Source organism: Homo sapiens, chromosome 4, assembly GCF_000001405.40.
Source record: "Homo sapiens chromosome 4, GRCh38.p14 Primary Assembly".
Taxonomy (NCBI): Eukaryota; Metazoa; Chordata; class Mammalia; order Primates; family Hominidae; genus Homo; species Homo sapiens.
The window spans coordinates 158129177-158144531 of NC_000004.12; the positions used below are offsets into that span (position 1 = coordinate 158129177).

At 36.2% G+C, this 15355-nt stretch overlaps 1 protein-coding gene across 6 annotated transcripts in view; it reads right to left on the minus strand.

Annotated features, from left to right (window-relative positions):
* The window catches only part of GASK1B (golgi associated kinase 1B), a 48552-nt gene that overhangs the window by 4703 nt on the left and 28494 nt on the right, over positions 1-15355 (minus strand). For all 6 annotated transcript variants that reach the window (XM_024454079.2, NM_001128424.2, NM_001031700.3 and 3 more), the window contains one exon: positions 1610-1836. In XM_024454079.2, the coding sequence (XP_024309847.1) occupies positions 1610-1836 (227 nt within the window). The remainder of the gene's footprint in view (positions 1-1609; positions 1837-15355) is intronic.

A 15355-nucleotide genomic window follows, 5' to 3' on the forward strand; every position in this document is an offset into this window, starting at 1 on the left:
TGCATTTAAATGTAAATCTTCTTTGAAAGAAGAAATAAAGATATTCACATTTACATGAATGTATGAAATGGATGGACTGTATTCTTCAGGCACTCCTAATTCTAAGAGGGAATTTAGGGATTCAAGAAGACCCTGCGATATCACCTTAGTAAGTGATGTCTTAGGAAAGTAAATTTTCCGATACATAAAATTTCCTTAGCTTAAAAGAGAGAACCTGCCACATAACCTGCCTTCAATCCACAAAGAGATGTGAGAAACAAGTGTCAACAGGGCAGGACCCGGCAAAAACTTATAAAATCATGTCTCATAAAACTCTCATAGCAACAGTATTGCTCTTAATGCTAAAGTACATAAAATCCACACCATGTAAGTAATAGTGTTTAGGAAGAATGATTGAAATATGCTCCAGAATATTATTAACAAGAATAATAGTAACAGAGCACACCACAGTTACTACAGAATTAGCACCACAGTTATTACAGAAAAAAAAAATACTGGACTTGGATTTGGAAGACTTGGGTTCTAACCTCAATTTGAGACTTGCTCATGAGGTTTCCAGCAGTCACCTAGCTTCACACAGCTGGTTACCTATTTTACCAAAGAACCCTCTATTTTTAGGTCTCCACCCTACCGCAGTCTCTTAGTCAATCTGATTTCTGACTAAGATGGGAAGTATGGAGAGTGGCTCTGCCCACTAGGCAGTGGAGCTTGAAATCTAGCCACAATTTCCACTGCTGGGGTTGAACAGCTCACACTTTATAGCTGGGTTCTTGCCATTACTAAATGTCTAATTTCCTTTATTTCCAATAGATGTATGATCAAGTGTGCCATGAGCAACCACTGTGTTTTAACTTCTGCATTGCAGAACTCCTTCTTTGGTTCCCTCTCCACTCAGCATTCTTTCTGAGTCTTGTCGGATGTCCCCAGATCTTTGAGATCTTCCCTGAATTCTTGGTCAACCCTAAGTAAATAAATAATTCTTCCCTAACTAGCCTCCATAAGCCCTCTCTTTCAGGTGTTAGATACTTTTCCCCTTAATCTATGTCTCCTTGAAGGATTTCAAAATGCTGAAAAATCCACCTGCTGAATTCTACAGCCAGCTTTCCTCTGAGACTATGCCTTACTTACCAGATTGGCTGTCATTTTCCACTGCATTCATAAAAGTCACTTGAGTTCATTATGAATTTAGACATTCTGCCATGTCAATATTTGCACATCTATTAGTTCTTCCCATGTCCTATCTTATGCCTAATAATGGAGCCTCTGCCACCTGCTTATCCCTGCTCTGCCAAATCCTATGCCAGAGGTCCCTGCATTCTTCCAACAAAACCCACATGGATTTTCACAATGAGAACCAAGCAACATCATGAATGTGAAATGTAGCATGCACTTTGTAGGCGGTATTGGTTGTTGATAGAGGCGCTATGGCTGCACTCTGGTTCTGTTCTTCTTGGGTTTGTTTCCTTTCTTGGGTCTCCATTCCCAGATTCCACATTCACAATTATTTTCAAGGGTTAAAATGATCAGATGTAAGATGTGAGTTTTCTCAGAACCTTGCTACTTATCTAACATAAATGTGATGTCCTGCAGATGTTACTATAAAACTTACTCTTTGATGCCTTCTAACAATTTGAAGTTTAAGTTATCTTCACTCCTGTCAAAGAAACCCTTGTTGTCTATAAAAACCAAATGCCTTGGGTCATGCTTTCGCTGGATAATGTGTGCTAGAGCCGCAGAACCTTGGTCATCACATTTTGGCCTCAATCCATTCTGTACACAGGCATCTTCCTTGCGAGGTCTGAATCCACAGCAATTTGTATCTAAGCGATTATAAATCTGTAAATGGAAAACACAAAATCCAAGATGCTGAGTGAAAACAAAACTTGGGAAAGTTACAAGATTTTCAAAGATCAGTGCTTTCTGAATAGCTGACTTGCCAGAATCTAAGAGGGCCAGGCTCATTTAATTAAAGGCAACTGTCAGAACAAGTCCAAGGTTCATATCCTTCTGACTCAGTCATAGTTATAAGCATTTCCAGCTTCTGCTAATAGATCCAAAGTCAGATTATCCAAGTTAGGCATCTCCACCCTAAATATTCAAAGTTCCCACTGACATCACATACAGACACATGGCCAGCACAATCTCTGACTCCACGCACAGCAGAAGAAACACCATTGTACTTCTATGTGTCTGGAAGGCTCTGTCTTGTTTTCTCCCTCAGGTGGCTTATGGGAAATTGGAGTTACTTCATTGCCACAAAAAGTTTATTGCATCCCCTAGCCTATCTGGACTTCAGTATTACAGTAAGCTAACTTGAAATCACATAGAAGAAATCTATTGAAAAGATGTGAGACCAAATCATAAAACCTAAAAGCACTATCTAAATGGAGGCCACAGCTAGATTCTAAACATATGAACAAAATGGGCCTACTGAAGTTTATTATGGGAGTTAAGGATACCACCCTATAGAAGAGGGTAACCAGATTAATTAGAAAAAGAAGAACTGTTTAATTCCATTTCCATTGGGTAAGGAAAGAAATAATATTTATGAATCAGGTAAAATAAAGCCTGGGCAAAGGAATCAGATAAATTTAAGTCAAATCTCTGCTTTCACACTTCTGAGCTCTGCAACCTTGTGTAGATTCCTTTCCATCACCGACTCTCAATGTAAACGCCTGAGTAACAGGAATGATACTCTTTACCTCGAACACCTGGTAGAAAGATTGATGAAAATATGTGTACACCCTCTGTCCCTGTCCCAAGCATCTATAAGACACTTAAAAAATGAAAACTACTGTTACTCTTGTTGAAACACACCTACATACCATCCAAAGTTATTTATCTCAAAACAAGCTTCTAAGACAAAGAGTAATTTATCCATTTTAAATGAAGAAAAATTCAGCCTCAGAGACATTAAGTAACCTGCCCTGGGTAGAATATTAGTAAGTAAGTAGCAAAGTGAGGATTTAGACGTGGATTTGTTTGTCTCCAAAATTCCACGATTTTTTTCCCCAGTACGTCATATTGAATGGTTTTAGGCTAACTAGTCAAAAGATGGCTAGACAGACACTGCCACTTTTATTCTTTTGGTATTAAATTCCCATCTTTTTCTCATCCTCCTGTGTTTCTGCAGCTCCCATGGAGCTGTCTAGGAGACCAGCTGCTTAGAAAGGGATGCCGAAAAGCAGTGCCAAAATTTAGCCTACTTTGGAATGATCATTTATTCATTTATCCAACAAACAGTTATTGAACATCTTCTACATCCTATCAGTGAGCTAGGCACCAAGGCAAATGTTACCCATGGTCAGCACCTCTCCACCATTACCACTTCCAATGGAAAATTGAAATGGTTATTTAGTTTTCCTTTGCTACCAGAACAAGCTTCAAGAACTGGACAAAGGACTTTCTTCTCTGTTTACTGTATGTAAATGGACTTTGTATCAAATAGCATGCTTGAGATCAAGGATTGTAAGAGAAGTTAGCATAAGCCAATTTTCTATGAAGTTTATGTAAAGCTGGTCACATGTGTGGCAAGCGAGCGACCAAGCATTTGCACCAGTCAAAGGGTACACTGCTGGCCTAGAAACAGTCACAGAAAAGGAGGGTTCTGTCAAGATTGGTTCCAAGCCACTGATCCATGGGACCATAAGTCTAACCCATAGTTCATCCAAAAAGTCACATAGACTGACTCCAGGGAACAGTAAGTTACCACTGCTTGTTAATGTGCATTTGATTGACATGAGAATAAGAAGGTTTCCCAAAGGTGAGCAAGAGTGCCCCAAGCAAATCACTGTAGGTTAGAATAGCACATGGAATGAAAAAAGCACAAATTAGAAACTTTTAGAGAACTTTATTGAGCCCTTTCTTCTCAATTTCAGTCATTTTACGCAGTACCTTCACTGACTTTGAGTATAAGAGAAATCAAATGATATAAAAGAGACTGCATCTGATTGCCAATTATTTAAGTTAAGGTCAGAAAGAACATGAAAACTAACTTTTCTATAAGCTGCTTCCCACTCAATCACCCCTTTTTTTAAATACACATTAACTAATGATTCTCAGAGAATCTGTGTACCATTTTATCATCATTGTTTTATCTAGTTACATTAACATTAAAAATAAAAAAACTTAAATCTTATTTAATTTTGACTAAATATCAAAGTCTATTATATTGGACATATGTGTTTTGAATATAACCCGTAAAGAAAATGCTACCAAACATTTCTTAAATGCTTCTTCAAACCCTTAGTTCTTCCATCATTGTGGACTTCATAGTAGTGGGGAAAGGACTAAGATACATAACTACATTTGTACTGTTTCTATAACAAAACCATGAATATCATATATTTATGTTAAATAATAAGCTCTTTAGAGATAAGGCCCTTTCAGTACTTCTGTAAACATTATATTTTTCTATTTTTAAACTACACAAAAGCATTAAAAGTTAAAGGTTGAAAAGATTGATTTAGGTCATCTTTTTATTGCCTTACCAACATTAGATTGTTTGCTACAGTGTACTTTTAAAGTACTTCGTCTGATCTAATTTTGAATCACTCAACTGTCTGTGATGATTTCACCACCTCCCTGACAGACTGTTGTGCCATTCAGATCTAAGAGACATTATTACTGAAAACAGGTGTGTGCATTCAGCCCAACTTCTCTTATAGAAAATGTTGCCACTAATTTTTTTCAGATCTATATATGTACTTGATGGGCATATGTGTGTGTGTGTGTGTGTGTGCGCGTGCACGAACACTGTGTGTACACCTGCAGATGTAAAATCAGCTGTAAGGTCTCAAATAATCTAGGTTTTACTTTGTTTTCCTTATGCTCCAACTATAGTAAATTACGTCTTTGTATTATTGCCCTTGTCTAGCAAGGGCTTACGTACCTCTTAATTCATGTTCTCTAGCTCTTCTCAGAATTTTGTTTATAGGTTTCCTTTTGAATTCATATTCAATATACCAAAAATAACTTGACCACAAAAACATAATCTACACCCTTAAATTCAGTGCCATTTTGTTAGGCAGTTAATTTAGTTTTCTATTGAGCATATTTATGCTTACTTTTAAGACAGCTTATCTAATTTTTAAAGCCTAATAAAGCATATCCTACATAGCTATGAATCCATAATATGGTTTTAATATACTTGTTTAGTGCACACTTAAAACATTCACTTAACTACTGCATGATTAAGCACTGTAGTGTACATCTACGTGTCTGCGTAGGTAACTATCCTACAAGAAGGCTATTTGGGGATACATTTTGTCAGCTAAGCAATAATGAGTGTTAGTCCTCATTATTGCTGCTTGTTCAAATTCACATCTTATTCTTTAAAACAGGAATGTCTTTTCCAAAACTAATCTTCTGCATCTTAAAATACTGCCAATCACCATTTTCCATAAAATGAGTCTTTCCTTTCTTAGGAAAATACATTTTTTCAATGTTTACCTAACTAAAATTATACTCAGAAAAACCCAGGTGTTCCAGCCAAATTTTTTGGTGGTGGTGGTGGGATATTTTTAGATATATTTCCTTCTTCTAAAGTTTTTTTTAATTCCATTTTCCTTTGGTAGTGTTAGTTTTGCATGTAGGAAAAAAGCATCTCATGAGTGATTCGACTTATGCTTGCAGCACCTACACAAGGGTGCCTCTGCAGCACTGTCCTAGTTCACCAAAACCCATTAGAAATCTGCAGAAACCTAAAGATGTTCCAACCCTATGCACACTACCCACACCAGCTATGTCTTCAAAAATGGGCCTATCAAGAAATTGTGTCAGTTTCTTCACATCTTCTTTTTCCTCAAAACAGTATGATTAAATCACTAATTTCAGGCAATGCTTGGATGAAGGCAATAAAAAGTACTATATTTTGGCCGAGCATGCTGGCTCATGCCTGTAATCCCAGCACTTTGGAAGGCTGAGGTGGGTGGGTCACAAGGTCAGGAGTTTGAGACCAGCCTGGCCAACATGGTGAAACCCCATCTCTACTAAAGATACCGGGCGTGGTGGCACACACCTGTAATCCCAGCTACTCAGGAGGCTGAGGCAGGAGAATCACTTGAACCCGGGAAGTGGAGGTTGCAGTGAGCCGAGATCGCCCCATTGCACTCCAGCGTGGGCGACAGGGTGAGACTCCGTCTCAAAAAAAAAAAAAAAAAAAAAAAGTACTATATTTTTATTTTATTTATATATATAAAATGCTGCTAATATTAATAATAAAAATATTAATAGCAGTTTTATATTGAGTGTTTAGTATGTGCCAGGAACTGTATACTTAATGCTTCACATGTATTATTTCATTTAATCCTCATAGTAACCTTAAGACATAGGTGATACCAATAGTCTCATTTGATAAATGAGGAAACTGAGGCAGAAAAGGGCTAGTTGACCTCCCCAAGGCCTCTCAACTCTTAAATGACACAACTCAGGATTCCAGTCCAGGTATCTACAGCTTTAAAGTCCATGCTCTTATCCATCCTGATTGTATCTCTCGGGGGTAGTCTCCAAAACGATACTGCAAAAAGGAGGCGCATTTGTGTAGAACGTTAAATGATACTGAATTTAAAATATTAGTTATAAAGGTTTCGTCAGAAATACAAAGAACTTCCGTAGGATTTCAGAGAAAAGCTCATGAAGGAGATGACATTACAGTTAAATTTTAAGAGCCAGGCAGTGTTAGCTAAAAACCAGGCAAAGGCATGGAGGTAAGAAATCCAAAGGCATCTTTAGAGATACAATAAGTGTATTTGGCCAGTGCTTCTCTATGTAGACTATTGTTTTGTTTAAAAAAATGATTAATCATCAGAGAAATAAAGTTTTTGAAATGGAAAATACCAGATAAACATCTTGTTAGATTCAGCAGGCAAAATTATTCTATCAAATTATTATCAAAGTTTCTAAATGCTTACTTGTAACTTTGCATTATCTCATCATGAACTGGTATAAAGTGGCATGGGTCCTTGGATCCTACTGTGAGTGGCGCAATAGGAGACCACATTACTGAGAGTAAGGGGAACATTAGGGCAGGTAGTCAGATAGAAAGGTGAAGAAGGGTATTGTTAGCTAGGTGCAGTTATGTGCACCTACGGTCCCAGCTACTCAAGAGGCTGAGACAGGAGAATTGCTTGAGCCCAGGAGTTCAAATCGAGCCTGGGCAACATAGCAGGACCCCCAGAAAATGCACTGTGCCTATAAAAAAAAAAGCTAAAAATTTTTTATGTGTCTGCAAGTTTCATTTTTATTTTCTCATGCAGAGCTGGAAGAAAGGTTGAAGGCAAGTGGGTAGGGCATCAGGTGAAAACAGTAAAAGAATGACAACTAAAGGAAACACAGGCAGAATGTGCTTGACAGCTAAAAACAGGGTAAAATGAGGATGTTCTTCCTAACATAGGTAGGAAATTCCCATCATCCAAATGTTATTCTCATTCAAATCTGTTAGTTAAATTAGATAAACTTCTGTTTTTCCACCTCTTTAAGGGTCTAAGTGAGGGTATAATCACAAGTGTGTATGTAGGTGTGTGTGTTTCTGGTTTGGTAAGTCAGCATCTTAAGATCCTCACCATCTCTTTTCAAATGATTTGTTTTTAGCATTTAAAAACTGCATCTTTAGAAAGAAGAATGCATATCAGAGAGAAAGTATAAATATGCAATAAGACATGTGATTGGTGGAATTTAACATTCACCATAGTATTTCACCCAATGCCTACCACATAGTAGGTACTCAATAAATGTTTGTTATTGAATGAACCCTGCTGAAAGTTGGCACCCACTTTGTATTTGGCTATTTACAATGCTCCTCCAAAGCACTGTTTTGTATTGGGAAGAGTCAAATAAACCAAATGATGGTGGCTTATCAAGATAACGGATTTTTTTAAATGCAGCATACACTGAATAAAGTGCAAAAAAAATTGAACAGGCCAAATAATGGAATGGCCTGTGCTTGCTGTGTGCTTTTGGTTAGTTTCTTTATGTGGGTTTAAATTAACTAACCATGGATAACGAATTCTCATATCTCACAGAGGGTCCGCCATAATGCCATGTATGTAATAGGCATTCAATAAATACATACTAGGCAGGTTGACAGAAATAACCAAAGGAAATGCTTTTCTATAATTAGCAGTTTTCTGGAAGATTTCTTTCAATCCAAGTTACCTCATTGGATATCTCATTTAGAAAAAAGTTCCATTTTCAACAATTATTTTAATTATTTCAAAAAGGGAAAAAGACAGTGAGAATCGTTATCATTACCAGCATCCCTTCAGACAGACAGATGCAAAAACACATGGACTTATTTGTTTATCAGCTAATAACTTACACTGGAAAATCCCTTTTCATGAATTTGTCTTGATGAAAACCACTGTATGGTTGCCATATTATCAATAGAACTAGAGTTGGCCCCATGTAGTCTAATGAGTGTATAAAGGGACACTAGATTGTAAAGAATGCAACCTCGGACAAATCCCACAATCCCATGGCACTTGTTAATATAGACACAGCCTCTTGCTTGGGGAGCTATACAAAGCAAAAGCCCACAGTATTCCCCCCTGCTCCACCCCCGCCAGCATCTGTATCACCTGCGAACTCTCACCGCATAAAATAATGAATTTCATTTTTGTTCTCTGCTGCCATGACAACAGGTGCCTGTTAAATTAGTGAGCATGCATATTTGACTTGAAGAGCAGTTGATGAATGAAGAGAAATGTAAAAATAGTCTGCAATATAGAAATCTAAAAATGGGCATAGGCTTCCTTGTGCCTCTGCCTCTGTAAAGAGCATTCATTGCTCTATTCCACCTCTACTTTAGAATTCCATGTTTAAAAATAAATGTCAGTGTATACCAACCCAGGGAAGAATCTCTAGTTTCTTCCACATTAATAAATGACACGTAATGACACAGTATTTCTTTACGTATAAGTAAAAGTATTCTAAGGTTATTATACATTTGGATCGATTTCTATAGCTGCAATGTTTAAAATCCATATACTGCACCTCTCAATAAGAACCAGAAGCCAAACATCACTATGCCACAGAAAGACTGGAGTCACCAGGCAAGCAACAATCTATTTTTGGAGAAAGAAAATTTATGTTCTATAATTTGCACAAGCAGAGATACATGAAAATAGTCTCTGTCAAAGACACATCCATTTTCCTGTAAAGATTTAAAAAGAACACTCAGACTAAAAAAAAATTTTTGCATTTTATGAAATTCTGATTTATAGAATGAATTGCTATTAGGCAATAAATTTAACATGGAAATGAAATAACCTTACTGTAATAAAATTTTTAAATGCTTTCTTCAGTGAAGTAAAGCACCACTATTTGGAACTAAATCTATAAAATCAAATTAGAAACAAGTAAAACATGTTCATTTATATCTGAAGGAATAGTATCACTGAAAACCTTCTTTTGCTTAACTTGATGTGTATTACTTTTATTATTAATATAGAATTTCTATCAATTTTTTTCTATAATATAGATTTTTAAAGGAAAATGACAAAAATAAGTAAAGATAAGCTAAATGACTATATTAAAACTCAGTTTTGGTTATGGTTAACAGAACCTAATGTAGCAAACAAATCTAATAGCTATTTTAACTTACACTTTTTTACAAAAATCAGTTCTCTTTTGAAAAAATAAATTAATTTTGACAGCCTAATTATTTTCTGGCCACTAAAAATAAATTTTGCTTTTATGAGTTAAACTTTTCTTAAAAATTACTTTTACATATACATATAGAATTTTCCCTTCTATGTTTCTATACTTCTTGGGTTAGAAAACAGCTACAAAATCAAGCCCTTTAAATAACCTTGCTAAAATATTTCAGAACTCTGCTATAGCACTTCACATTAAAAGTTCCTAATCATCAAAATAATCCAGAATAGTATATATTTTTCCCATATTACAATTGAAGAAAAATGTTCAGAGAGGATAGCAACCTGCCTAAGGAGATAAAACGAGTGACTCGTGTGGATTTCAAAAACATCCGCCTGCCTACCACGATGCTTCCCCTGCTAGAAAAGACAAAGTTCTTGCTTTCATGAAGATTACAACTTAATGCCTCTAAGAATGATTCACTGGGTATTCTCTATAGCAACCAGCATTATACTTTATACAGTGCAGGTACTTTATAAATGTTTGTTGAAAGAAATCAAAGAACGCATACCAGCTCCACTCAGCTCACTCATTGAAACAGAATGCAGATAGCTATCTACTAAAAGGTCTGTTTTCCCCTACCCATCCTTTTGTGGCAATCTCAAAATCTTAAAATCACAGAATCTTAGAATCACAGAAATGTAATACCTTTGAAGTTACTAGATCTTATATAGACAAAAGGGAGTTTATTTCAGAAAAGATAACCTAGAGCAGTGGTCTTCAAACTTTTGATTTTAGAATTCTTTGACACTCTTAAAAATTACTGAGGACCCCCTAAGAGTATTCATTTGTGGTTATTTACCATATTAAATGAAAAATTAAAGCCAAGAATTTAAAAAATAAGTATGCATTAAATTCATATAAAAATAATCTATCATATGTTAATATAAATAAGATATTTTAAAGGAACTTGCTATGCTTTCCAAACAAATGAGAGAAGTGGAATTGTTCTTTCAAGTTAAAATGGCATTTAATGAAAAAAGCAGCTAGTTCAGCTCACAATTCAAACAATTACATAAGTGGTTTCCTCAAGACAACCATTGCACTATGGGATACAGTCGATGTGCTTTACACATTCTCATTTTGTCACACAGGATATTAAAAAGACAGGGACTTACAGGTAGAGATTTTTAAAAATTAATAGATTTTCATTGCTTCAAGAAAAATTTTAAGGGAATCTGGCATTTGTTTCATGTGCTATTTTTCTTCCTGTGACTGCAGTGGCAGTGAAGAGTACAATGACCACCGGTATAGTTTGGTGCCTGCCTTTATTCATGCTAAAGCATCAACAGATTTAACCACTACTGCATATATCAACACTGAAAAAAGTGAAAAACCAAAGGTCTCAGTATTACTGTGAAAATAGTTTTGCCCTTATGGACTCGCAGAAAGGCACACAAAAACCATGCCCCAAACAGTTCCATTCAATTTGACCATACAACAGTAATAATTCTTGGAAGCTCCATATATCTCTTAGTGATATGTGTCCATAAACATCATGAATATGGTTGGGAAGAGCATGAAACCAATAGAATACTTATCCTACTTTTGCACTGGTTGAACCAGCTCTCACTTAACCCTTAACCCTCTTTGAATATACTTCTTCATTAGCCAATAATGAGTCATAAATTTTAAAAAATACATACAAAAACCATATACATTGAGCCCAATGAGTATCTGCCTGCCCTCTCAGATGTTCCTATGAAAACACTATCACGTTCATTTTTCCAAAACTGTTATATTTGCTCCCTACCAGACTTACTCAGAGGCTCAGTGCTTTGACCTCTTGCTTTGCTCGAGCATACCCATCAAGGTTGGTTTCAGACTGTCTATGGTTCAATGGCACAGGCTTAGTGAAGAAGCCAATCCCAAAAGCTAGTCCCAGCAATACGTTAAAAAATGTTTGAATCTCAAATGGTTATTTATGAAATCACACAGGCTTCCTCAAGTCTCTCATCTTTCTAGCCCAGCTATGTCTATAACTAGACTTACAACTGAAGCATACTAACTATGCACTGATCAATTTCAACATAGTCTAAAAAATTCACCACAAGGGTGGAAATAAGCAAAAGAAACATAAAATTTAAAAATATATACTGCAGTTTTGATTAATAATAAAATTAGAATGAATCCAGTAATGCTCAACTGGTTGTCACTTAGCAATTTGAAATTATAAATATAACATATTTGATCAGACATTTCCTTCTTTAATTCAGACGGATTCAAGAGCAAAGACTTATGTTCACCAACTTTCTAGTCTACATGTTATGCAGATGAGGCTTTAGAAAAACAACGCCAGCAATCTCTAAGCATGAGTGCTAGATAGTAGGTGGAAAGAATGTATTAAGTTCTAGAGGCTTTCAAGTTGGAAGCAGACATGTGAGGAATCTATATGTTTCTTAACGGAAGAGATATGCTTTGAGACAAAGATCAGTCTGAAAAGGATGTGTACCAGCACATGTTATAATGACCCATGTTCATTACAGAGGCATAGCTTATGAGATACTGGGCCTCAATAACCAGAATGTATCAGAAAACATTCAGAAGTACCTTTTGGTTATTGAGGACAGGTATCTCATAAGCTATGCCTCTGTAATGAACATGAGTTAGGGTGGCTAGGCTATTCTTTTTCTTAAAGTTGCCTTCATGAAAAAATGCTTAAATTATGTGAAGTTAGAGAATGTGGTCTTAAAAGTCAAGTCTCCACTAGAAAAATGATGTTAATGCCCAAAAGGGAGATTCATAGGTCAGTGCCTTTGTATTTACCTTTTTTTTTTTTTTTTTTTTTTTTTTTGAGACGGAATCTCGCTCTGTCGCACAGGCTGGAGTGCAGTGACGCGATCTCGGCTCACTGCAAGCTCCGCCTCCCGGGTTCACGCCATTCTCCTGCCTCAGCTTCCCGAGTAGCTGGGACTGCAGGCGCCCACCACCACGCCAGACTAATTTTTCTGTATTTTTACTAGAGACGGGGTTTCACTGTGTTAGCCAGGATGGTTTCGATGTCCTGACCTCGTGATCAGCCCGCCTCGGCCTCCCAAAGTGCTGGGATTACAAGCGTGAGCCACCGCGCCCGGCCGATGTTGTGGTTTCTTTTTTTTTTTTTTTTTTTTTTTTTTTTTTTTTTTGAGACGGAGTCTCGCTCTGTCGCCCAGGCCGGACTGCGGACTGCAGTGGCGCAATCTCGGCTCACTGCAAGCTCCGCTTCCTGGGTTCACGCCATTCTCCTGCCTCAGCCTCCCGAGTAGCTGGGACTACAGGCGCCCGCCACCACGCCCGGCTAATTTTTTGTATTTTTAGTAGAGACGGGGTTTCACCTTGTTAGCCAGGATGGTCTCGATCTCCTGACCTCATGATCCACCCGCCTCGGCCTCCCAAAGTGCTGGGATTACAGGCGTGAGCCACCGCGCCCGGCCGATGTTGTGGTTTCTTACAGCACCAAATACCATAATGAGCAGTTCCACACTGTAGAACATTCAAAGAAAGACCTATATAATCTCTACCACTAAAGGCAGTGGTGACCATGAACAAGAGTGTGAGGCATATTTAATCAACAGTGGATAGACCAAACTACAACACACACACACCTTATGAGGAACCAGTGGCAGACAAGATTGGAAAGTCAGCAAATTAGGTCATTGGATTTATTAAAAGCAATGCTATTTTTTTTCTATATAAACTGTACCCCTGGATAACCAAACAGGACATGAAGTGAAATTTCTCTTTAAAGAAGTAGTCTAACTAATAAATGAAGAATCAATGATATAATTAATATATCACCATTTTTCAATTCCCAGTGAACTAGTGGATCAATGTGAACATCAATAGCTGCTATTATCAGAAAAAGGACTAACCAGATATGATGTCTTCTGATAAAAGAACACACCACTATCTACAAAGAAGACTTGACAAAATAAATCAAATCTAAATTTGATCATCAATTCAGCACCAATCTATAGGGAACATAGACAAAGGAAGCGCAAAAGAAAGGCACCACAAAAGTGTAACCAGCAAAATTGAGAGTGTGAACTCTACAAAACAAATGATCTGGTTTCTTCAACAAGCTGTTGAAAGGGAAGAGAGAAGATATAGAGATGAAGTCCATTGATTAGAAGACACACCAACCAATCACAAAGTGTGGGCATTATTTAAATCTTGATTCAAATAAACAAACTGAAATATATAAATGACACTTATGAAACAAAAATGTGGCCACTGATTGGGTATTTGACTAAATCACTGCTCAATTTTATTTTGTGCGTGATAATAGCAATGTGCTTATGTGTTTTATCTTCTAGTGATACATACTGAAATATTTACAGATGAAATAATATAATGCCAATTATTTTCTTGAAATTAATGTGGATGTGGAAAGTAGACAGAGATAGAGATTTAACAAGATGGATTATGAGCTGATAATTGTTGAAGTTGAGTGACAGGCACATAGGGGTTTATTATAATATCCCGTCTTCTTTTGCATATGTTTAATTTTCCATAATAATTTTTTAATGTTCTAAAAATTTAAACTTTATTTTCCAATCAAATGGAAGTCTTTAGAGATTTTATTTTGCAAGTGGCAATATGATTAAAAGGGAAATAGGAAAGATAAATTAAGCAATGATTTGCACATTAATTGGCAGTTGGGGAAGACCAAAGACCAGGAGATTAGTTAAGAGTCTCTTACAGCATCCCGATCTACATTGGAAAAAGTCTGACTGAGGTAACATTAATAGAAATGAAAAGGAAAAAGTGACAGGAATGATTTTGAGGAGCATCAAAGTTCGCTGCTACTTGAATATGAAACACTAAGCAGAGAAAGATTAAAAGAGGACACAAAAATCTCAAACCTGGCATATTTTAAAAATAGTAATGTCATGAATAAATATAGGCCAGTCAAGATGACAAATTGTTGGGTGATGAGGTAACAAATTTACTTCTAGACATCAAGTTTGAGAGGATGAAGTGACCACTTGCTATTAAAGTAAATTATTGTTTACCTACACATGCATTAAAAAAAATCCTTTGTGCTGTCTCCTGAAATGTGATTATGTGTTTAAAAATACAGTGTCATAAATTAAACTTAGCATAATAAAATAATTGAATAAAATAAAACTATAAGTCAAATTTCCTTGTTACTGATATTAAAATAGCCCAAACCCTTCTTTGATAAAATTCTACTTTTTTGTCATGTTTTACCATTTGTTTACATTATTTCCCTGCAAAAAATGTTCCTTGATATCATAAGTAGATCTGTATATGTACTTATTTTATATCACTTTCCCTGTCTCTATACATCTAAACATATAAAGCAATGAACACATCATAGGTGCCCAATAAATACCAAGTTTTCTGGCCAATATGCTCACTTATTGCAAGCAGTACTGAGAAGAATAAGATTGTAACGCTGCCAGATAATTTGGAAAGTCTTCTGAAGCTTCCTTAAGTAAGATAACATCATTATTTTATTAAGTAGTATCATTAATTATCTTAAGTAACATCATCAATACTGAAATAATTTCTTCTAGTGACAAACTATGGAAATACATATAGTAGAAACTGTGTCTAAGTCAGACTTTTGAATTTCATTTATGACAAACTTAGTTGTACACTATTAAAAGTCTATAATAACCACAATACTGTTCAGTGCTTAGCATGTCCATACCCAAAAGTTTGGAATTTGTCATTTTTAATCCCTAGCATCATA